At 45.2% G+C, this 25,387-nt stretch overlaps 1 pseudogene and 1 further gene across 7 annotated transcripts in view; one reads left to right on the top strand and one right to left on the bottom strand.

Annotated features, from left to right (window-relative positions):
* Positions 1–25,387, bottom strand: part of IGK (immunoglobulin kappa locus) — a 1,378,008-nt gene that overhangs the window by 657,439 nt on the left and 695,182 nt on the right.
* LOC107985911 (lymphocyte specific protein 1 pseudogene) overlaps positions 1–25,387 on the top strand; it is a 42,827-nt pseudogene that overhangs the window by 7,736 nt on the left and 9,704 nt on the right. For 2 of the 7 annotated variants that reach the window (NR_160762.1, NR_160764.1), the window contains one exon: positions 15,246–15,949. The exons of 3 other annotated variants lie outside the window; for them this stretch is intronic. The product of NR_160762.1 is annotated as a lymphocyte specific protein 1 pseudogene, transcript variant 2 (transcript). Of the gene's footprint in view, positions 1–8,928; positions 9,583–15,100; positions 15,950–25,387 lie in introns of those variants that run through there. 2 more of the 7 variants (NR_160766.1, NR_160767.1) reach the window with 2 other exon arrangements.

The raw sequence follows: 25,387 nt of genomic DNA, 5'->3' as shown, positions 1-25,387 counted from the left end.
TTTCTGGGGCTGGTAACATCAAAAATAATCAAATTAAGTGTTAACTTGCTGACTCGTAAGATTTTCTCTAATTTAGAATTGGAGAACATATATACTCCTATTACCACTTTCCATCTTTCTCAAATATAGTTTTTATAGTTTTCTGTTGGCTTCATCATCGTATTGAAAGATTATTAATCACTTACATATATGTAGTTTTCTGTTAAGTCCTGTTCAGTATATTACAAAATTTTGATCTGTGTATGTAATATCAATTAATAAGATGGTGTTAGTTAAATCAGATTACGTGTTCATTCATTAAGTCATTGTTAACACTTCACAGAATATAAATCGTGTTCCATGAGTATGAATTTCTCTCTGAATTCCACATAATTGTCTTAAAATTATGCACCATTTATCGTTAAGAGTGAAAGATTATGTGTCATTTATTGTAGTGGTAGAAGAAAATAAAACCAAAACAGAATCCAATCCAAAAGCTTAGGTTTTTGTTGCTACTACAGTAATTACATCTTCATATACTAAGGACAGCACATTATTACTGTCCAAGAATGGTGCCTCGGACAACTGGTTGCTTACACTGTTTTCAGAGATGAAATAGGAACATAAGCAGGAAGATTTTTGTCTAAATATGAAGCAAGAAAGGCTTAAATGTCTTTATTCAGGGGATTAGGCATCATAAGTTTTTTTTTTTTAGAGAAATTGTTTTCATGATATTTCCTATCTCCTTTTGTCACTTTGCTTTTGTCGGTAAATTTTACAACTAAATGAGGATTACCAGGCATAAAAAGCAGCAGACAATCATGATGCAAACTGAAAATAATCAATCAAAACTGACCCAGAACTTAAATAGATGTTAAAATTAGCAGAGGAGGACATTAAAACTGTTTTTATACATGTATCTCATATAATCAAAACATTAAATAGAGACATGGGAGATAAACAAGAAAAGCCAAAATCAAACTTTCAAAGACAAAAACATTTGAGATGAAAATTACATTGGATGAACTAAAGCAGATTAGAAACTGCAGAAGAAAAGATTAGCAAACTTGAAGATACAAGAACAGACACTAGCTAAAGTACAAAAAGAAAAAAAAATCTTAAAAAGTGATTTTTAAAAAGCATCAGTGAGCAGTCAGGCAACTTCAAATGGCCTAATAATATGCAGGTAACTGGAGTTCCCAAAGGAGAAAAAAAAGAAAGAGAAAAAAATACTTGAAGAAACAACTGCTGAAAATGTTCTAGCCATAAGAAGACCTATTAACTCACGGATCCAAGAAACTCAGCAAACCCCAAGCACAAGAAACATGAAGAAAATTACACTAAGGGATAACATAATCAAATTGTTCAAAATCAAGGAAACATTATTAATAGCAGGTGTATAAAAAGACATGTTACCTATAGAAGAACAAAGATAAGAACAACATCAGATTTCTTTTGAGAAACAATGCAAGTGAGAAGACAGCGGTACATCTCTAAAGTTCTAGAAGAAAAAAGGCCAACTAGAATTCTATGCCTGGCAAAAATATCTTTCAAAAATGAAGGTGAAATAAAGACACACCAGAAACATAAATAATGAAATAATTCATCACCAGGAGACCTTCACTGCAAGAAATGTTAAAGGATATTCTTCAGAAACAAAATGATGTCAGATGAAAATCTGGATCAATACTAAGGAATAAAGAGCACCAAAGTGGTAACTATATGAGCAAACATCTTTTAAATTTTTTATTATTTAAATCTCTAAGAGATACATGTTTAATAAAAAAACAGCAAAATATTACAGAGTTTATGACATATGTAAAAGTCAAATGCATGGCAGCAATAGCACAAAGTGCAGGAGGGAGGAAAAGAAAGTAAATGAAGGAATGCTTTTATTATAGATGAAGTGTACAATATTACTTGAAGGTAGACCTCTCTAAATGTGCACTATAATCTTAAAGGAACCACAAAAATAATTTTTAAAAATAGGTAAAAGTAATAAAAGGAGGCAAACTGGAATCATAATAAATAATATAAGCTGGGCACGGTGGCTCACGCCTGTAATCCCAGCACTTTGGGAGGCCGAGGTAAGCGGATCACAAGGTCAGGAGATCGAGACCATCTTGGCCAACATGGTGAAACCCCGTCTCTACTAAAAATACAAAAATTAGCTGGGTGTGGTGGTGCACACCTGTAATCCCAGCTACTCAGGAGACTGAGGCAGGAGAATCGCTTGAACCCAGGAGGCGGAGACTCTAGTGAGCCGAGATAGCGCCACTGCACTCCAGCCTGGCAACAGAGCGAGACTCTCTCTCAAAAAAAAAATAAATAAAGTAAAAGAATGCAAGAAGACCAGGTGCAATGGCTCACACCTGTAATCCCAGCACTCTGGGTGGCCAAGGCAGGAGACTCACTTGAGCTCAGGAGTATGAGACCAGCCTGGACAACATAGTGAGACCCCATATATAAAAAAATAAAGTAGCCGGGTATGGTGGTGCACAACTGTGGTCTCCACTATTGGGAGGCTGAGGTACATCACTTGAGCCTAGCAGGTCAAGGCTGCAGTAAGGTATGATCACACCACTGCACTCTAGCTTGGGTGACAGAGCAAGACCCCATCTTGGCAGGTGGGGGATGCAAGAAAAATGCAAGGAACAGATAGAGATAAATAGAAAACATATAAGAAGACAATCATATTAAATGTACATGGTCTAAATACCCCCAATTAAAAAGCAGAGGTTTTAGACCATATACATTTAATGTGATTGTCTTCTTACATGTTTTTATCAGAGAAATAAAACTATCGCCTTCAAGAAACACAAGTTAAATACAAAGATGCAAACAGGTTAAAATAAAAGAATGGAATAATATATACCATGCTTACGCTAGTCAAGAGAAAGCTAGAGTAGAAATACTAATATCAGGCAAAGCATATTTCAGAGTTAAACACAACATTTTTCCACTATTTGCAGTCAAAAGTATCGTTAACACTCTTTTTACTCTGCTCAAAGTTACAGAGTTCTTTTGTATAAACATTAGAACACTTATCACAGCCTGCCTATAATGGAGAATAATTCCATGTTGTATACTATACAACACTCTTACTAAAGTCCATTAGACAGAAATATGTAGCATTTGAGACACCTTCCAATTATAAAACTCTATGCAAACAAAAATTAACAACGCAGATCTGAGACTATTATATTATCCTGTGAAGGAGGGTCTGTCTGTCTGCACAGTTGGTCCTAGGCTGGCTTCTGAGGACTTGAATTTCAAGAGGGTTCCCTAACTGGTAATCATGGTTTACTGTATCTAGACTATGGAAATAATGTGGCTTATCCTGCTATTCTTTTTGTGAGTCTGGAAATTTCACACATGCTAGGCAGAGTACACATATGTGACCAGCCAAGATAAAAACTGTGTTTCTTGGGAAGTCACATAGGTTGTTGTATTTTCATTAAGGGGGAAAGAAGGTAGTCTGTGTGATCCTCATGGAAGGCACAGCACATAAGGAAGCCGGTACATGGATTTTTCCAGACTCTGTCAGTGTCTTTTGCCATTGAGATCTTTCTACTATATATCCATACTATGTTACAGTAATAAATCTTAGCCATTACAACCCTAAGCTGATCCCATGAGTCCTTCTAGCAAATCTCCAAACATGGAGGCAGTCTTGTGGATCCCTGACACAAATATAGTGTTGTGATCTCTTAAGGTTTATCCTTCCTCTTAAACTATAAAGAGCTGGCTGGGCACAGTGGCTCACGCTTGTAATGCCAGCACTTTGGGAGGCCGAGGCGGGTGGATCACGAGGTCAAAAGATTGAGACCATCCTAGCCAACATGGCGAAACCCCGTCTCTACTAAAACTACAAAAATTAGCTGGGCGTGGTGGCACACATCTGTAGTCCCAGCTACTCGGGAGGCTGAGGCAGGAGAGTCGCTTGAACCAGGGAGGCAGAGGTTGCAGTAAGCCGAGATCGCACCACTGCACTCCAGCCTGGTGACAGAGGGAAACTTCATCTCAAAAAAAAGAAAAAAACTATAAAGGGCTGGGTGCAGTGGCTCACGCCTATAATACTAGCACCTTGGCAGGCCCAGGTGGGAGAATTGCTTGGGCCCAGGAATTGAGACCAACCTGGACAACAGAGCAAGACCCTGTCTCTTAAAAAAAAAAAAAAAAAAAGTTGGCCGGGTGTGATGGATCACGCCTGTAGTCCCAACACTTTGGGAGGCCGAGGTGGGCAAATCACAAGGTCAAGAGTTCGAGACCAGCCAGGCCAACATGGTGAAACCCCATCTCTATCAAAAAAAGTACAAAAAATTCACTGGGCATGGTGGTGGGCACCTGTAATCCCAGCTACTTGGAAGGTTGAGGCAGGAGAATCACTTGAACCCAGGAGGCAGAGGTTGCAGTGAGCTGAGATCACGCCACTGCATTCCAGCCCGGTGACAGTGTGAGACTCCATCTCAAAAAAATAAAAAAGAAAAGAAAAGAAAAGTTAGCCAGGTATGGTGGCATGCATTTGTGATCCCAGCTACTCTAGAGGCTGAGACAGGAGGACTGCTTGAGCCTAAGAAGTCAAGGTTGCAGTAAGCCATGATCATGCTACTGCATTCCAGCTTAAACAACTGAGATGCTATCTCTTAAAAACAGAAGTAGAAGCAAACAACTATAGGGGAAAATGAGGGATACATACTTTAAGAATTTTTAAAAATTTACATGGAAAAACACCAGGATTCTATAGAAAATAAAACAGTATTAAATAACATTATTTATAAAATAGATACTAGCAAATTACCTTACGTAAAGATTCAAGTCAGTAACTTAAAGGATCTTACATAAAAGTGCTTTCCGTTGGTTGGAGGAGAGATTTTTACTATACACTGTTTTTCAATTTTTTTAGACAAATTACATTTAAAAGTTTAAATTTGCTTATCTACATTCTTAATGTGAATTGCCACCTTACTATAGGAAGGCTATTTTTGTTCCTGCAGTCTACAAAAAGAACAAAAATATTAAAAACGTACAACTCTTCTCACAGAACTAAGTTGGTTTTATACAAAGACATCTGGCACAAAATACAATGATATTTCAATATAGAATCACAGCAGGGGATGAGGGTGGAGAAGGAAGAGATTACCAGTTCTAAGAGGGGAGACAACAGAAGTATTTTTTTAATGTCTTATTTTAAGAGTAAAACACCTGCTTTTTTTTTGAGATGGAGTTTTAGGCGGGAGTGCAGTGGAACGATCTCGGCTCACTGCAATCTCTGCCTCCAGGATTCAAGTGATTCTCCTGCCTCAGCCTCTTGAGTAGCTGGGATTACAGGCACACGTCACCACGCCAAGCTAATTTTTGTATTTTTACTAGAGAGGGGGTTTCACCACATTGGCCAGGCTGGTTTCAAACTCCTGACCTCAGCGTCAGCCTCCCAAAGTGCTAGGATTACAGGCGTGAGCCACCATGCCCAGCCAACACTGAACATTTTGTTCAGAACTAGTTAAGAAAACAGAAATATACGTTGGGGGTTTATGGATTACTTATTTTTGGGGTGCAATACTGGGAATAGAAGAGAAAGGAGCTTCCTTTCCCTCTCCTTCTTTCATTCATTCATTCATTTTGAGAAGAAGTCCTGCTCTGTTGCCCAGGATGGAGTGCAGTGGTGAAAACTCAGCTCACTGCAACCTCCACCTCCTGGGTTCAAGCAATTCTCCTGCCTCAGCCTCCCAAGTAGCTGAGATTACAGGCACGCACCACCACACACGGTTAATTTTTATATTTTTTTAGTAGAGACAGGGTTTTGCCATTTTGGCTAGGCTGGTCTCCAACTCCTGACCTCAGGTGATCCACCCGCCTCAGCCTCCCAAAGTGCTGGGATTACAGGCATGAGCCACCGCACCTGGCCAAGAAAGGAGCTTTAGATAAATAAAATGATTAAACATTTGTAGCATGTAGAATGAAACTATTCCCTTAGTAATACTCAAATTATCCAGATTTCCAAGATGTTGGTAGCACCCCGAGAGCTTCAAAAGGGAAATTAAAAGAAAAACGACGTTACCCTTCCTGAAACACAGATTCACTGTTTGCCATATTCTTTTCTCTAGTAAAAGATGAATAAAGTTTCCTCTGGAAAAACTAAAAACAATCTGAGGTATATTTCAGAGAAAACAAAATTGCTTGATAAAAATGCCATGTTAACAACTGAGGAAATTATTTTACATATATTAATTTTAACACAGGAATAATATGTCAAACCAGGATTTCTCAACCTCAGCACTATCGACATTTTAAGCTGTATAGTTTTTGGTGTGGGAGGCTGTCCTGTATATTGTAGAATGTTTAGTGGCAGCCCTGGCCTCTACCCAAGAGGCCAGTAGGACCCACCTCCTCATTCAAGCTAATGCACTAAATTTTTCCCTTCATTGACAAATCCCATTAATGCATGTATTTATCCCATTAGTGACTCTCTTGTGTTCCAGGTACTTTGTTAGGCACCAGAGAAAATATGATAAAGCAAAACAGCTATTTTCCTCACTCTCATGGTGCTTACAGCCATGGTGGGAAAAATCCATAGGAAAAGACTCACATACACAAATGCAGGCAGAATAAAAAAACTCACACAAACAAATGTTGCAGATGTTGTTAAGTTACATAAAGGAGATATGCATGGCTGTGCATGGTGGCTCGTGCCTGTAATCTTAGCACTTGGGGAGGCCAAGGCAGGTGGATCACTTGAGGCCAGGAGCTCAAGACCAGCCTGGCCAACATGGCGAAACCCTGTCTCTACTAAAAATACAAAAATTAGCCAGGCATGGTGGTCCATGCCTATGATCTCAGCTACTTGGGAGACTGAGGTGGGAGGATCACTTGGGCCCAGGAGGCAGAGGGTACAGTGAACTGAGATTGCGCCACTGCAATCTCAGCCTAGGAGACAGAGAGAGACGTCTCCTGTTCTCCTGGAGAACAACAAGTCATGATGTCAGACAAGAACTTGGATTTTGGAGACACGGGTTTGAATTTCAGTCATTCATTCTTTTATTCAGTAAATATCTAGCAAGTACTGACATGTCCCAGATGTTGTTTTACTCACTGGTTATACGATGGGAGGGAGACAGAGAAAGAGAGAGAGAGAGAGAGAGAGAGAGAGAGACGCTATTCTAAAAGCTTGAAGTCTAGGCTGTGCAGAGTGGCTCATGCCTATAATCGCAGCACTCTGGGAGGCTGAGATGGGTGGATCATGAGGTCAGGAGATTGAGATCATCCCGGCTAACACAGTGAAACTCCCTCTCTACAAAAATACAAAAAATTAGCTGAGCATGGTGGCAGGTGCCTATAGTCCCAGCTACTTGGGAGGCTGAGGCAGGAGAATGGCGTGAACCCAGGAAGCGGAGCTTGCAGTGAGCCAAGATCACACCACCGCACTCCAGGCTGGGCGACAGAGCCAGACTCCGTCTCAAAAAAAAAAAAAAAAAAATGCATAAAGTCTAGATAGACTTTAACCCAGGAATAATCCAAGGAAATGAACAATTACAAATGTGACAAGGGCTGTGAAGGGAAAGTTCACAGCCTTGTCGAAGTGTACAGTAGTTGGGGAGGTTGGCCAAGGCAAGATGTTTAGGAAAGGCTTTCCTGGGGAAATTTCTCTTTGGGTTGAATCACAGTTAAGTAGGCAAAGGGGAAGACAGAGGGAAGGGAAGTATGGCAGGCAGGAAGAATAGGCACTTAATAGCTTTGGGATATTGGGCAGGTCGCTTGATCTTTCTGAGCTTCAGTTTTCTCATCTGGGAAATGAGTTAATAATAGTCGTTTAGAAAGTGTGATGAGGCCAGCCAGGTGTGATGGCTCAGGCCTGTAATCCCAGCACTTTGGGAGGCCGAGGCAGGTAGATCATGAAGTCAGGAGATTGAGACCATCCTCGCCAACATGGTGAAACTCTGTCTCTACTAAAAATACAAAAATTACCCAGGCATGGTGGCGTGTGGGAGGCAGAGGTTGCAGTGAGCCAAGATGGCACCACTGCACTCCAGCCTGGGTGACAGAGCAAGACTCCACCTCAGAAAAAAAAAACAAAAGGAAGAAACTGTGATGAGATCAAAACAATTAATGCATGAGTGTTCTGAACCTCGTTTCTCCCTCTGCTGTATCTATGCAGTTTCTTGACCTGGGCTGTGCTCCAAAGAGGATTCTAGCTTGGCTTTTGTGATAGAGAATGGATACATTATTAGACCTGAAAAGCCAGAGCAGGGAGGAATGGTCCCAAAAGGAAGAAACTGTGCTTGTCTTCACAATAAAGAGCAGAGAAGTGGGGAGAGGTATTGAAAGCTGTGGGTGGAGTTTTGCAGGTAAGATTGTGTGAAAGAGGTGAGGGAACTACAATCTGGGGGAATGTGGATAGGAGAGTAAAAGGGAATTCTAGAGAACAATCCCTACTGACTTCACACAACTTAAGAAATGCAAGTAAAGGGCCGGGCGCGGTGGCCCACACCTGTAATCCCAGTACTTTGGGAGGCAGAGGCAGGTGGATCACTTGAAGTCAGGAGTTCAAGAAGAGCCTGGCCAACATGGTGAAACCCCATCTGGGTTAGTCAGGCATGGTGGCATGTGTCTGTAATCCCAGCTACAGAAAGATAGAGAGGTGGCTGAGGCAGGAGAATTACTCAAACCCAGGAGTTGGAGGTTGCAGTGAGCCGAGATCACACCACTGCACTCCAGTCTGCTGGACAACAGAGCAAGACTCAGGGGGTGGGGTGGGGGAAGGAAAGAAGGAAGGAAGGAAGGAAGAAAGGAAGGAAGGAAGGAAAATAGAAATAGAAATGCAAGTAAAGAATTTCAGTTTGAAAATTGCCTTTTGTCTACTGAACATGAGACTGCTTGGAAACTGGGCAACGTGGATTTTTATAAGTTGTACAAAGCACTTAGCAATTTTCAAACCTCTCCATCCTGCAGAGCCAGCTCAATCACTTCTCCAGAAAGACTTACTGAGTCCTCTGCACTGAACAGGTGTCCTATGCTCCAGGAGAGCCCTGGGCTGGCTCCTAGTGCAGCCGTTATGACCCTGGAATGCACCATCTTTCACATCACTGCCTGGCCTTCTAGAATCTCAGCTTCTTAAATCAAGAAATTGTGTCTTGTTCATGTCTGAATTCCCCAAGTGAACACAGTGAGTGGGTGCTTGACAAATCTTTGTTGGTAATGAGCAAAAAAGGGGATTCTGTGCCCAATACCATGAAATCAATGCACAGAAGATTCAGTCAATCAAGAAAGGTGCACAGACACTGGCCACACACACTGACATTTGTTTGCAGATGTTCCAGTCCCCCTGACTTCCACCAATCCATTCATTCATTCCACAAGCATTTTTGCTGGGGTGGAAGCAGGGCCATACAGGGTGTGTACATCACAGATAGGGTGGGTTTGTATAATGAGTATAAAAAACTTCTAGCAGAAGATGACAAAGTATATCAAGAAAGGGCTCTCTTCGAAATCACACCACTGCACTCCAGCCTGGGTAACAGAGGGAGATTCCATCTAAAAAAAAAAAAAAAAAAAAACAGGGATGGGGGCAAGGGAGCTCTTTTCTTCCAGTTAGCACAAGATTGCCATTTCAGCTAGGGATTCTGCTGCAACTATCTCCCAGACCCTATTCTAGGGCCAGGGGATAGAAACAGAATCAAAAACATATTCATTGTCTTTTTTGGGCTTATATTATTGAGGAGAGAGAAATAAACAATTTCAAAATAAACAGTGTCATACAGCGCTAAGTGCTGTAAATAAAATCAAACAGAATAACGAAAGAGAAAGTAGCTAGACTGGAGGGAAAAGCTGCTTCAGAATGAGTTGTCAAGGAAGCCTCTTTGCAATCAGAAAGGTGAGAAGGATTTAGTCAGGCAAATATCAGGAGTAAATTATTCTTGGAGGAAAGTAAGCCCATGCAAAGGCCCTGGGGCAGAGTGGGCTTATTTGATAAAGAGGTAAAAGGGTCAGGATATCTGTAGCAATAGTGGCCAAGGGAGGGAGAGGTATGAGACAGAGGAGGTGAGCCCTGTTGCCATGGTGAGGGCATGAGGATTTATTCTAAGTTCCAGATACCTGGAGTTAAAGTCCCCTGAACTGGACAACAACTACAAGCCTTCATATCTCAATGCTACCATCTTTAAGCCCCCGTTATAAGAGCTCAGAGGCTTCAGAGATGACAGGAAACACCAGAACGCTATGGTGGAGCATATCTAGGTGTCTTCTCCCAACTCAGATCCTTTGACTGTAGAAAGACACAGATTTCAAGGCTGAGATCCACAAAACTCTAGCAAATACTGCACAGACACTGACCAATGACAGCAGGTGCTGCCTGTCACCCTGGAGCACCAGGCAGGGTTCCAAAGCACCCTTGCTGTGCCAGCCTCTGATTGCTGGTTATAGGGAGGTCTGGGGTAGTCCCAAAAGCTGGGATGTGCAAGGCAGCTGGGGTCAGTCAGGAGGCTCAGGGCAGTGGCAGGAAAATATTTTCCTCCCTGGTAGAGCCACAGCGGGGTATCCAGGCTGAATATTATTGGCGAGAAGGACCATGGCACAGCACCAAGACCTGCAGGACAAACTTTGTTGGAGCTGAATCCAGAAAAACAATCTTCTTCTAAACCACTCTCCTGCCCCTCATTTAATTATTGTGCTTTTGGGTGCACTTGGACTACTCTGAAACATTCAGAACTCTGTCAAAAAAAAAAAAAAAAGACCTCTCTCCTCAGCACCTCTCCCACTTGGGCATCAGTCTTGGCTTCCTCTCTACTTGCTTTCACTTGCTCCTTGTGGCAGAGATTGCCCTCAGCAGATCCCTTCCCTTAGGTTCCTTGCTGTCAAGTGGAGGCTAGGGAGCGAGATTATGGCCAATAGAATGTGGGCAGAACCACAGATCTGAGCCTGAGGAACATCCCACAGGACCCTGAGCTCTTCCTCCAGCTGCTGCAGTGGCCTTGGAAGCCATGTCTGTTCTAGAAGTGTAGCTACAGATGGAGAAGGCCCATGTGCCAGCTAGTCTCCAAAGATGGCGTATTAGGCCATTCTTGCGTTGCTATAAAGAAATATCTGAGATAAGTTAATTTATAAAGAAAAGATTTGTATTGGCTCATTGTTCTGCGGGCTTCACAAGAAGCATGGTGCTGGCATCTGCTTGGCTTCTAAGGCGGCCTAGGAAGCTTACAATCATGAGCAGGCACATCACGTGGCCAAAGCAGGAACAAGCAAGAGAGAGTCAGTGGGTGTGGGGAGGGACATGCCACACACTTTTAAATAACCAGATCTCACAAGAACTCACTATCTCAAAGACAGCAGCAAGCCATGAGGGATCTACCCCCATGGTCAAAACAACTCCCACCATGCCCCAACTCCAGCACTGGAGACTGCAATTTAACTTGAAATCTGGGTGGAGATAAATATCCAAATTATATCAGAGGGCCTTCCCTCGAACCAAACCTCCTGGTTTCCAGGTCCCCTTTCTTGCTGCTTCTGGGCTGGCCTCCTGGGAAGCCAAGACTGCAGTGGCTCTGATGCTGCATGGGGGCTGAGGCTCAGCCATGAGGAGGCTCGTAGCTGCCACTTTGGTCTTTTGGAATCTTTGCTCATGAGAGTCTCCCCGTTGGGCCGCAGCCACCATGCTGAGAAATGAGGGTCATGTGGAGAGGCCACATGGAGGTTTTCTGGTCTAGAGCACAACTGAGCTCCCAGAAAACAGCCAGCATCAATGGCTGGGCATGTAAGCCAGCTGGCATGGACATTCCAGACCAGTCTGTCCTTTTGTCACCTTAGCTACAGGGAAGGCCCATGACCCCAGAAGTGCCCATCATTATGCTGAATTCCCGAGCCTCAGTGGTCCACCGAGGTGTGGAAGCATGTCTCACAAGGGTCAGATGGAGTTCTGGCCTGGATTGATGTGTAGATGCTTGAGGGAGAAGCTGGGTTTCTTTCAGCTGGGGTGGCTCTGCTGGGATGTGGTGGGCCTTGGGTTTCCAGGTGGTCATTTTCCTTATTTGCAGTAGAAGGAATGAGGCCCATATAGAGAATAGAGCAAATTAAAGGGAGAGAAAGAGAAAAAAGTAAGGAGAGAGGAAGAAAGAGAAAAAGAAGGAAAAGAAGAACGGAGGGAAGGAGGAGAGGAAAGAAAAAGAGAAGGAAAATGAGAAGGAGGAGAGGAAGAGGAGAGAGAGAGAGAGAGAAAATAACTTACTTGAACCTCAAAATTCAGGCATACCATGGTCTTTGCAGTTATAAAAATCAATAAGTCACCCTTTAGCTGAAACATGTCTAAGTGGAGTTTCAGTTGTTACAACTGACAAAGCCCTGCCTAGCACAAGGAATAAACAATGTTCAGCAGTGGCATGAGAACAAGGGACAGCCTGTTTGGTGGGCAGCACGGCAAATGGCTGTCTGGAAAATATGATGCTTGGGCTGGAGGGCAAAGTGGAATTCACCAGCATGCAGGGTGGAAGTACAACCCTAGCAGACGGAACAGCACTGGCAAAGGTTCAGAGGCAAGAAGCTTTACATGTGAAAGGATACATTTTTAGAACACTAAACATTCTCCCTGTTATCCAAAACACTGAGTTTCTCTTCATTTTTTGGCCAGGTGTGGTGGCTCACGCCTTTAATCCCAGCACTTTAGGGGCTGAGGTGGGTAGATCACCTGAGGTCAGGAGCTCAAACCAGCCTGACCAACATGGCAAAACCCCATCTCTACTAAAAATACAAAAATTAGCTGGGTGAGGTGGCAGACACCTGTAATCCCAGCTACTCGGGAGGCTGAGGGAGAAGAATAACTTGAACCAGGAGGCAGAGGTTACAGTGAGCTGAGATTGTGCCACTGCACTCCAGCCTGGGAGATGAGACAGAGCAAGACTATCTAAAAAAAAAAAAAGACTGAGTTTCTCATCATTTTTTGAAATTGAGAGTTTTCTCTGTATCGATAAGACCTTATAATGCAAAATATAATATAATATGCGGCTAGGTCTCCACAGCCTTCAGTCTTTCCCAGGGAGGGTTCCATGAGCTGCTTGTCTGGTGGGGATGGTGGTTTTGAGCAAGTAGTTGGTGTCCTGTCTTACCCAGGCTCTTTCCCACAAAGAGTTGGGCAGAATTAAAAACTACTGGAAACCAAGATCTCTCTCTGATGTTGACTTGTCAGACCTCAGCCTCATCAGCACAGGCTCTAATCAGCTAAGCAGCTAATAAACTCCTGCCTCATTTCATCCAGCCAGAGCCCTGATCTCAGGGGATGATAGTGAGGAAATGATCCTTTCACATGCCTGGCTCCTGCAAAATTGTGCTAAGAGGATTTTCCTCAAACAGTTTAGCACAGAGCAAGGTTTCCTGATCCAGTTAGCAAATATTCTTCTGTTTGAACTCACTGACCCTCCTTTTTCTGAAGATGTATTTTAAATTGGATTTGCTTCACTGACACAAATGGAAAACTTGATAAGAAAATCGGTGGGATTTTACTGCACCCACTGCTGATATCAAGACTGAACTCTGTATTACAGCAACAAAAGCTCTGTTCTGTGGCTACAGGATACACGCTGAGCTCCCAGCCACCAGCCCTGCCAATGTGCTCAGCTTGGCACAGGGCAGGGAGCAGGGTAGAGGGGAGGGGATGGGGAGGGGCAGGTGGAAAAGCTCAGGTGATGAGCCAGCCACATCACCTCAAGCACAGAACCCCTGATGGTGGCCCTAGATCCTCCTCTTGAAATCCAAAGCTCAGTCCCTCTCCCCAGTTCAGGAGCAAGGAGGTTTCTGGCAGGTTAAAATGGCTAACTCAGGAGCTTGCCACCTTTGAAAGGCAGCACTGTGTAGACAGAGGCAGAAGGATGGGCTTAGGAGACAGTCCTGGCTTCAAATCCTTCTCTGACTTACCAGCTCTGGAACCTTAAGCAAGTGACGTAACCTCTCTAAGCCTCAGTTGCCTCATCTTTAAAATGGCATCCCTAATCCTTACTATGAAGAGATATCATGGGTAAATGAGATGCTGTACTTACGAAAGGGCAAGTCCCTGTATTGGTCAAGTGTTTTTACAGCATTGCTGCATAACACACAGCCCCAGGGGCTCAGCAGCTCAAAACAAGTGTTTATTTCTTGCTAATAATTTGCAGTGAGCTGGGAAGCCTTGCCTCGGACTGGGGGCCAGGCTCTGTTTGCTTCTGTGTGTCTCATTCACAGGCCGGTGGTTCCCTGGAGCTTGCTCTTCTCATTGTGCAGGGGTGGGGTCAGTGCTGCCACCCAACACCACATTCAGTTAGAGCCTCCAGTCAGACCAGGCATGCACTAACTCTGCTCATGCATCTCTAGCCAAAGCTGGTCATGTGCACAGCAAGAAATCTGCTCTGTCCTGTCCACAGGGAAGTCGCAGGAATGTGAGAAGGCCAGGAAGGATTGTGAGCCAATAATACATCTTGACAATCCACAATAGATGGAAGCTATTATTGATTCATTATCTCAAAATGGCTCCACCAGCCAACCCCTTCTATCCATCTCCAGTGCCACCTCCTAATTCAGGTCCTCGACGCTTTTTGCTTGCATGGCTGCCAGAGCCTTTGGGCAGGTCTCTCTGTGTTGATGTGTTCACCCCCACTCCTATCTCCTCCATCCAACGCTCTACCACCAAGGCAATCCTCCTAAAACACAACCACAGTGTTCTTCACACTCCCTATGATTCCCTGCAACCCACATTATTAATCATTAATCCAATTAATAAAAATTAATGTACTAATCCCCAGCTCCTCAGTGTGGCCCTTCACAATCTGCTTGTCCAGCCTCGTCTCTTGCCTCCCCAGCTTTCCCCAGCAGACCCCTCTCCCACCCATTCCAATGCCATCCTCTTCTCCCAGCCTAGTTCTTTCAGGCCCTGTGCCTTTGCACTTGCCCCTGCCTGAAATGTCCTTCCCACTTCTTCTTGAAGGGGGTGAGTGCCAACTCACCTTTCCAACCCCACACCAATGCACACCAGGATCTCCCCAAGACTCCAGGGTAGTAGTCACCATCTGTATTTCTGCAGCACACTGCACCTGCCTCTAGCACAGCTCGACAGCCCACTGAAGTGAATGATCTGTTCGATCAGTGCCGACTTGCCTTTCTTTCCCAGCTGCAAACCACCCAAGGTGAAGTCATCTTAGCCTCTTGGAGTCAGCCTGACTGGGGTGAACCCATTGATATGTATTGCATAAATGAACATATGACAGTAGTGATGAAGGATCTCCAGCTATCCGTGTACTCTCTATGCTTCCCAGACTCTTTGGCAGTTGCACTGGGTACTGGCTGAGTTCTGGAAAACAGGAATGTGAGCAGAGTGCTGCAGATCTCCTTGTCAGGAGCACCTAAGAACTGGCATGACTCTACACCCTCTCTCCTTCTGCAATGACCTCGTGTCAAGATGGCAGACCTGCAGAGATGAATGTGCCTGGATACCTGAGTCACCAGGTGGAGGAAACTCCCATTGACATGCATCACACTCCACATATGAAACCCTTCTTTTTCTGCACTGTCACTGGGGTTAGGGATTATTACTCACTGCAACTTAGCCTAGCATTAAGTTGCTTGACTAATACAAGTTTCAATAAATGTCGCTTCATTTCCCATGGCTTCTGACTGAATGCTGTGCAATATCCACAAACCATCCAGATTGTGGTTTATAAATACCACCCTTCACTAAAAGGACTCAGAGCTCCTTGTAGAAATGGCTGATGCTAAGGCTGGGGTAGGGAAGTACAAGGTGAGCCCAGAGTGCTGTGTGGTGCCAGAAAGCAAGGAAGCATTTAAAAAATGACAGGGACATGTCAAAGGACACATCAATCAACTTCAAGGGGCTTCCACTGGCCAAATCTGGGATGATGTGAGCATCCAAATTAATAATGATAATGGTAGATTATAGTCTATTGAATAAAATGAGAACCTATAACTATAGAAAGAAAGAAAAGGGAAGGAAGAAAAGAAAGAAGAAGAGAGGGAGGGAGGGACGGAGGGAGGGAAGAAGGAAGAAGACTTTCTTACGGTAGAATGCCAATGAATAAATACAGAGGGAATAATAGAAAACTCCATTTGCAAACATGATCATAATAGTTTATTCAAGGAAGAATCATCACTGAGTGAAAATTTAAGAAGGTAAAGTATGTTTTCATTGTCTCATAGCACTTCCACTCATATGGTTTATTAATTGCAAAGAGAAAAAGTGGTAACTTAACAGTAGAGAAACCCAGCAGGTCCTCCCTTAATGAGCTGAACAAAGTTAACAACACCAGGAATAGGACAAATGGGTGCCAAGTGTCTCTTGATGTGATACACTGAGAACACAGCATTGCTTCTGTAGCATTCCGGTCCCTGGAGGAAACATCAGACAAACACAGATGGAGGGACCTTCAAGGACTGACCTGAACTGTTCTTCGGTGTCAACCCCATGATAGACAAAAAGAGGCAGAGGAACTGTTCCAGATTAAGGGAGACTAAAAAGGTATGACAGCTGGATCAGGGGAAACGTGCCTTAAAGGGCATTATTGGGACTGTTGGCGAAATTTTAAGTGAACTGTATATTAGACAATTATCAAGGACTACACGATTGTATGGCATCAACCTCAAATTCCCCGAACTTGAGCACTAGAGTCTTCTTGTTCTGATGGAATATGTTCTGAAATGTTTAAGGGAGAGGAGAAGGATGCCTGCAACTGAATTTCAAATGGTTCAGGGAAAGATAATAGAGTAGAATAGACTATATAGATGGAGAAAGTAAATGTGGCAAATAACAATTGGTGAAGGTGGGTGAAGGGCATGAAAGTTCTTTGCCTTACAATTAATTCTTCTATAAGTCTGAAATTATTTGAAAATAAGAGAAATGCTTTCAGCTGTGAATAACAGAAAGCCTGACTACTTGTGGCTTTTGCAATAAAGACATTTAGTTATGTAACATAACAGGATTTAAGAGGAAGAAGGCAAGGACTTGAAAAGGCTCAGTGATGTAGCTGAGGCCCCAGATTCCTTTTATCATTTTGTCCAAAGGCTCCACCTTCCTGAATATTACTGCTTTATACCCTTGGAGCTTCATGATCACAGGATGGCTGTTATAGCTCCAGCCGTCATGACCAAGTTCAGACTCCAGGAACAAGATGGAGGAAGCTATGTCAAAGGGGGCTTTTCTTGATGTGTCTCTCGCCTTTAACCAGTGAAGAAAATCTTCTTAGAAGGACACAGCAGACTTCTCCTTATGTCTCATTATCCAGAAGTGGACCACAGGACAGTCCCTACTGTAAACTCTTTCAAGTATCAGGCAAAAAGGAACAAAAGGCCCCAGCCTGGCTTAAACCAACCTTGAGTCATCAACTGACACTGGACACTTTGTTTATCCAAGCAAAATCAGGATTTTCTGTTAGCAAGCAAAGGAACTGCTCATGGATAAGAAATTAACAGTGTGTGCCATAATTCATATTTGCCGCCAAGCATCTTCTCAGGCTGACACTGTGCCAAACAAGGGATTATAGAGATGAAGATGCAGCTTCCATCCCTGAAAGCTCACAGTCCATTCTCTCAGGGCAATCCCGGTAACCTCCTCATCACAATCATCCATCCAGATCATGGAAGTCCCTTTACTCCCCAAATAAGAAGGAGTAGCAGGAAAAAGTGACCTCATCAAGCTGACTCGAGTTTTTCCAAAAGCAAATAAATAAATAAATAAATAACTTTTTAACCTGCACAGCCAAATATCAAATAAATACATGTATGTTTTTTGGGGGGGTTGGGGGGTGTTTTTTTTTTCTGAGCTTCCTGTGGTATTGAAACTATCTCCCACTTCCTCCTTTTTGTCTCAAAAGATCTTAAGCATTGGGCCAGATACAGTGGCTCCTGCCTGTAATCCCAGTACTTTGGGAGGCCGAGGTGGGCAGATTGCTTTAGCCCAGGTGTTCGAGACGAGTCTGGGCAACGTAAAAATAGCCCATCTCTAAAAAAATAAAATAAAATAAAATACAAAAATTAGCCAGGCATAGAGGTGGATGCATGTAGTTCCAGCTACCTGGGAGGCTGAGGTGGGAGGATCACTTGAGCCCCAGGGGTTGAGGCTGCAGTGAACCATGATCATCACATCTGGGCAACAGAGCAAGACCCTGTCTCAAAAAAAAAAAATCTAAGCATCCATTCATTTTAGTTCATTTGAGGATAATTATTGACCTCCTCTTCTACCACCACTAGGGATACAGAGGAGGAGCAAACAGACATTATTCCTTCCTCTTGAGGCTCACAGTTAATTGGTAAAGAGGGACCACTATTCAGAAAGTCCCACACATCATTGTATGATCAAAAGCTATGACAGATGCAAGGAAGGAAAGCTGGATGGTGTTGTGAGGCTTCATGGCAGGGACACCAGACCTGGTCTAGAGGTGAGGGAAGACTTCCCTGAGGCACTGGCTTGAATGGAGAGCTGAAGGAGGAATAGGAATTCACTAGAAGAAAGAAGAGGAAGCAGCAAGTGCAAGGCCCTCCTGCAGCAGGAGGGAGCATAGCACATTCAAGGAAAAGAAGCCAGCAGTGTGGATTACAGAGGAAGAGTGCAGCACGAGGGCAGTGGCTTGAGATGAGGCCAGAGAGGAGGGCACGCAGGACCAAGGGGACCAAGGCAAGGATTTTGGTGTCCATCAAATTGGAGAGTGCTGAGCAGGGGAGGGGTAACCGTGTAATTGCCTTTCTCAAATGCCCGTTTTACCATAGCAAGGACAGACTGGTAGAAGCAAGGGATGAACTGGAGAGATGAGTGAGGAAGCTGCTCCAGAAGACCCATCAGGAGATGACGGTGACAGGGAATTGAGTGGTAGCAATGACAATGGGAAGAGATGAGCAGAATCCAGGTATTTGTGGGTAGAAGTGGCAGGTGTGGCTACTTATTGGAGATGGGGCTGTAGGGCTGTGAAGGTGTGAGTCCTTTACTTATCCATCTCAAGGGTCACGGCCAACACTCCTATAACAAAAGACATATTAACAAGAGAAAAACAGAGCAAATTTATTTAATCCAAGTTTTATGTGACATGGGAGGCTTCAGAAATGACAACCCAAAGGCCCAGGGAAAACTGTTAATTTTTATGCTTAGATTAGATGAAGAATGGACAGCCAGATAGAAATGTGATTGGACAAACGGGTATGACCTACTGGGAACAGACTGAAAGGGGACCCAGCAAAACTGTCTGCTCAGATTCTTCTCAGCCTCTCTGTGTAGCCTCCATTCCTCCTGGGTATGGGGCAGGACCCTTTCTGAAATGAGAGTTTTCAAAGGAGAAGGAGAAGATAGAGAGTGACCTTTCTAGGTTTTATGGTTTGCTTTAGCAGGAGGGTTTCTAGGTTCTATGACCCATCTTGAGGAAGATAAATTCTGGTTTCTGTGACTCACTTTGGAGGATGAAGGCAAGCAGAAGAGAGGGTATGAGGAGAAGGTTGGAAAGACCTTGCTTCTGAGTTCCTTCCAATGTCCTTCAGTTCAAAATACTCAGGCTGAGGCACCATGCTTTGGGGTGTCATGTTCTAAGCCCCGACAGCATAAGGGCAGCGTTGAGACAGCCTTTGCAGCCTGGCCTGCATAATGGACAGACGCTAGTGCAATCCATAGGGTTGGAAATGTGGAGGGATAACTGGCGATGCCGGGAGCCTTGAGTTCAGTGTTGGACACATTGAGTGTAAAGTGCCTTTGAGACACCCAAGTAGGCTGTTGGAAATAACCAGCCTGGAGCTGAGAGGTCAGGTTGAAAAGCAGTGTCTGGACGGCAGGTAGGCCCTTGGCCATGAATTAGACCACCAAGGAGAGCAAAGTGAGAAGTCAAGAGGACCTAGTAGGGCCCCTGAAAACTCCAAATGGCCAAGAAGAGGCAAAGAGCTACAAACAATCCTGAGAGGGGGCCGAGGGCAGAGCCACCTGGAGGGAATGTTCATCAAAGTCACACCCTGCCCCTGCATCCGCCCCTCACTCTGCACATGGGAGCTCAAGAAGCCAAGGGGCTTGCTCTGTACCCGGGTCACCCAGCTTCATCCTGGGCAAAATGAGATCACAGTCCCCGACTCTCATTTGCCCTCTTTTCTGCTTTTGTTTTTTGTTTTTTTTTTTTTTCTTTTATGCTCTTTTTAATTTTTTTCTGGGTACACATTAGGTGCATATATATGTGAGGTACATGAGATGTTTTGATACAGACATGCACTGTGAAATAAGCACATCATGGAGAATGAGGTGTCCATCCCTGAAGCATTTATCCTTTCTTTCTTTCTTTTTTTTTTTTTTTTTTTGAGATGGAGTCCAGCTCTGTTACCCAGGCTGGAGTGCAATGGCGTGATCTCTGCTCACTGCAAGCTCCGCCCCCCAGGTTCATGCCATTCTCCTGCCTCAGCCTCTTGAGCAGCTGGGACTACAGGTGCCCGCCACCATGCCAGGCTAATTTTTTTTTGTATTTTTAGTAGAGATGGGGTTTCACAGTGTTCACGGGGATGCTCTCGATCTCCTGACCTCATGATCCGCCCACTTCAGCCTCCCAAAGTGCTGGGATTACAGGCCTGAGCCACTGCACCCGGCACATTTATCCTTTCTAATACCAACGATCTAATTACACTCTTTTAGTTATTTGTAAATGTACAATTAAGTTATTAATGACTACAGTCATCCTGCTGTGTGATCAAACAGTACATCTTATTCATTCTTTCTAACATCATCCCCACCTGCCCTCAGCCCCCCACTCCTCTTCCCAGGCTCTGGTAACCACCTTTCTGCTCTCTAGCTCCATGAGTTGAACTGTTTTGATTTTTAGATCCCACAAATCAGTGAGAACACGCAATGTGTGTCTTTCTGTGCCTGGCTTGTTTCACTTAACATAATGACCTCCCATTCCATCCATACCATTTTCTGCTTTTGTACAAGGCATAAAAAGCAGGGCAATGGGACTCAATGGATTTTCCACGCTGCTCTAACACACTACTGCAAACCTGGCAGCTTCAAACAACACAGATGTATTCTCTCATAGTTCTGGAGGTCACAAATCCAAAACGAGTCTTCCTGGACTAAAACTGAGGTGTTGCCAGGACCCTTGGTAGAAGCCCTAGAGGAGAATCCATTCCTTGCCTCTTTGGTGGCTGCTGGCATTGTGAATTGTGGGCACATCACTCCAATCTCTGCCTCCACGGTCACATCACCTTCTCTTCTGTAGTCGAATCTCCTCTGCCTCCCTCTTCATCTATAAGGACACTTTGTGATGACATTGCGTATCCACACAGATAACCCACAATAGTCTCCCCGTCGCAAATCTTTGAAGTAATCTCATCCACAGAGTCTCTTCTGCCAACATCCCATTCACTAGTTCTGGAGGTTAGGACGTGGACATCTTTGGGAGTTATCATTCCCCCTTTCACAGGCTATCTGGGCTGTATACAGAACCAGAGATCTGAGAATCATCTTGGCGGCCTCACTCTGTGAGCAGAGAAACGTGTCTGTGCTCAGCAGCAATCCCTGGAGGCAGAGACTGGAAATTACATCTGCAACCGTAGTAAGAGCTTGCCAGGGGGCCGGAATGGGTGCCATACCTAGAGCTGTACAGGCATCCACCTCAATTCTCTCAGCGGCCCTTTGAGGTCACTCTCTTACTGCCACCAAGGTGCAGGGTGGTGAAGTTAACTCAGAGCAGAGACCTGGCCTTGAAGCCTCGTCTCCCTGGGGAACAACCAATCAGCAGGAATCTGAACACAAGCACGAGGGGCAATCTGAGCCCTTCCCCAAAGCCTCACTCTTCATTCACTCTGGCTGGAATCCTGCCCTCCCTTCAGGGCCAAGCTTAGGGAACAAGGAGCAACCAGATCCTACCTCCAAGGACAGAGCCCTTACGTATTTCTGCAATCTGTCTGCAGCCGGTGGTCTGAATGAGCATCGTGTCATCACAGCACTTGTAAATTTTGGAGGGGCTCCTCCACACTGAGGGAATATGCTTGTTCAGGGAAGGGCACACTCCCCCATTTCTCCCGGAACCACACTTCTGCCGTGGGACCCTGAGAACACAAGGGCCCTCCCCTTGCCCTGTTGCTTCATGTGGCTTAGTCTTGCTTAACAAACATGCTAGGTGTGGAAGCTGAGGCCTACATGTAGTGTTGAGGGCAAGCAGGGACCGCCTGGAAATGCTGAAAGCATTCTCTTAAAGTGGGGCCTTCCCATCATGATTGCTAGGCCCATGATGAGAAGATATTGCAGGAAAGCACGACCTGGACCATAGAAAGGGCAGATCAATGTGTGGGCCTTTATGTGCTTATCCCTCCCACCACCCTGCTGCAGACCCCACCCGCACTCAAGCTTAGCCCCTGTGGCTTGGAACCCAAGGACGCTTCTGAGCTGAGGCAGACTTCAGGGAGTACTAGTTAGGATAGGTCAGCTGCAAGTAACAAACAAACAAACAAAATACACAGCAAACTCTGGCCCTCAGGGCCAAATTCAGCCCACCATCTATTTTTATAAAGTTTTATTGGAACATAGGTGTACCCATTCATTTACACATTGTCTATGGTTGTTTTTAGGGTTGTAGTGCCAACAGAGATCTCATGGCCCACACAGAGCCTAAAATGTTTTCCATGTGGCCCTTTATGGAAAAAGTTCGCCCACCCCTGGCTTGAACAATGACAACATTGAATTATCTGCCATCACAAGAACTCCAGAGGAAGGTGGCTCCAGGGTCACACGAAGGCTCAGCAAAGTCCTCGAGGCCCCAGGCTCCTGTTCCCTCCTTGGCAGGTTGGCCTTTCTTCTTGGGCTGGTTTCTTCATGGTCACAAGCCGGCTGCCACAGTTCCAGGCTTGACTGCCTCTCAGAAGCACATTCAGGCCAGGAGGAAGGGCAGGCTTCCTCCTCACCTCTTCTTATTTAGGGATCAAAAATCCCTCCAGGGCGGTGCAGCAGAGGTCCCTTACCTCTCAGTGTTTAGACCAGAGGTCAGTAAGCATTTCCTATAAAGGACCAGATAGTGAGTATTTTAGGCTTGTCAGGTCACATATGATCTCTGCAGCATATTCTGTGTGTGTGTGTGTGTGTGTGTGTGTGTGTGTGTGTGTGAGAGAGAGAGAGAGAGAGAGAGATGACCCTTTAAAAATGTACACTCCATTCTTCTCATGAGCCATAGCTTGTCAACGCCTGGTCTGGCACTCTTCACATGCCCTCTCCATGCCCATCTCCAGCAAAGGATAGCGGGCTTACCCTTGCTATCAAAGGTGCTTGGCTTAGACCAATCACCCAAAACTGATGTTTCAGAGATGCCTGCTGGAGGAGTGTAGGCAGATATTACTGATGTCAGAAAAACAGTTTGAGCGCCACTTCCTTCTCTGGCAGGAAGGAGTGATTGGCTGCTGGTCCTGCCCTGTCCGAGGAGGAGGACGGAACCCACCCACCAAGCTGTGGAGAGGTGGACCCCACAAATCCCCTCGCAAGCCACGTCTGAGAGCGAGCAGAGGGAAGAAACTCAAGCGTTTGTAGTCCTCTTTCTTAACAACAAGGCTTAAAGCGCCATCTTGTGTCTTGAAGGCAGAAGGAGGTCAGGATGTGTGTGCTAGAAGCAGGCAGAGGATCTTCACCAATGTCTCAAAAACTAGAGAAGGAAACATGGCGATCCTCAAGGCCCGCGGCGCCCCAGCCCTTCCCGCACCCTGCGATAGTCTGGTGTTGGGAGGGTGGCCCACGTGTCCAAGCAACCACATCAGGGAGGTTCTGGGAGAGGAGAAGGCAAAGCTCCTGCCCTCATGAGGCAGGCAGTCCCATCCAGGACTGGACTGGATGAGCACCAATAAATAAGAAAACACAGCTGGCAGCTGACTGTGAAGGGTCTGGACAGGGTGCCGAAGTGAAGCGTAATGAGCTGGATAGTGAGGACCTCACTACAGAGGGACATCTATCTACACACAGCCTGAAGGGTGAGAAAGATGGATCCTTGCCCTGAGCCAGAAGTGCACACCCCAGAGAGAGCAGCTCCTGCGGAGGTCCTGTGGGGCAGGCATGGTAGGAATATTAAAGAGAAGAAGCCAGGTGTGGCTGCAGCCATGCAGGAGGAAGGGCGATGGGGTTGGGGAGGCAGAGGATGGGATTGGCATGAGAAGATGGAGATGCAGAGCCCAGATCGTGATAGCCCCAATAGTCCACGGGTAGGAGTTTGTATTTTCTACTAAAAGCAATGGGAGGGCGGGGCGCGGTAGCTCATGCCTATAATTCCAGCACTTTGGGAGGCCGAGGCGGGTGGATCACCTGAGGTCAGGAGTTCGAGAACAGCCTGACCAACATGGTGAAACCACATCTTTACTAAAAATACAAAAATTAGACAAGTGTTATGGCGCGCGCCTGTAATCCCAGCTACTCAGGAGGCTGAGGCAGGAGAATCGCTTGAACCCAGGAGGCGGAGGTTGCAGTGAGCTGAGATCATGCCATTGCACTCCAGCCTGGGTGACAAGAGCGAAACTCTGCCTCAAAAAAAGGGAGGGGGGGCAATGGGAAACCATTGAATCGTTTTTAGCAGGTGGTCTGATTTGATTTACATTTTTTAGACATGTAGCTTCACTATCATGGTTATGGTGGTCCGTGCATTACTAACATTGCTAAAACCACCATCATGCCAGAATTACCCTTCCATTTGTGGGTTAAAACACTGCACCCATCTGTCCCTCCCCAGAGTCCTCTTAGTGGCTGCTCTTAGGAGGAACTAACATGGACTACATTCCCCCATCACACCCAGCACAAGTGCCCTCCCAGCCTCCCCCACCCAACTCAGTCCCATTCACACGTGGCATGCCAGGGACTCTCCCATCAGGGGAACACCCTGTAACTCCCAAGTTCCTCCAAAGCCTCTTGAGAGGGACCATGGTGCCCTGCAGGGAGTGGGTCCTGGTGGGTCCAGTGGAGGGAACGTCCTTGCTGAAACTGGCTGGGTCTTAGCCGGGAAGTGGTGACAGGTATCTCTCACATACGCTACGGGAACCCAGCGCAGCCAATGGAGTCCAATCAGCACACCTTGCGCCCACCCCTTCGTTTGGTAACTTGAGGCCACTGCCCACCCACCAGGTACCATCTCTCAAGCGTGCCCTGAAGTTCAGGGAAAGACGCCAGCGCCCCCTGCTGGTTGCGCTCTCCCATAGCAGGGCTCACATTTTGGGAGAAAGAAATCAGCTGTTAGCAGCTTTCGTTCTTCACCATGTTAAGCAAAGCACAACATTTTATAACTGGGTGAAAAGCCAGATATTCTGTCAGCTGATTTGATTGTTCTGTACGCATATCCCTAAGCCATTGTTTGACGGATATTTGTACTGAGTTGACTTTCTTCATAAGATGATAGGACTAATGAAGAGAAAAGGCAATGGAGTTTTTAAAACCAGCGTGATGAACCAAATGCTGCCACTGACTAGC

The sequence above is a fragment of the Homo sapiens genome, chromosome 2 (genome assembly GCF_000001405.40).
Source record: "Homo sapiens chromosome 2, GRCh38.p14 Primary Assembly".
In the NCBI taxonomy this organism is placed as follows: Eukaryota; Metazoa; Chordata; class Mammalia; order Primates; family Hominidae; genus Homo; species Homo sapiens.
This window is presented reverse-complemented; position numbering and strand designations above follow the sequence as displayed.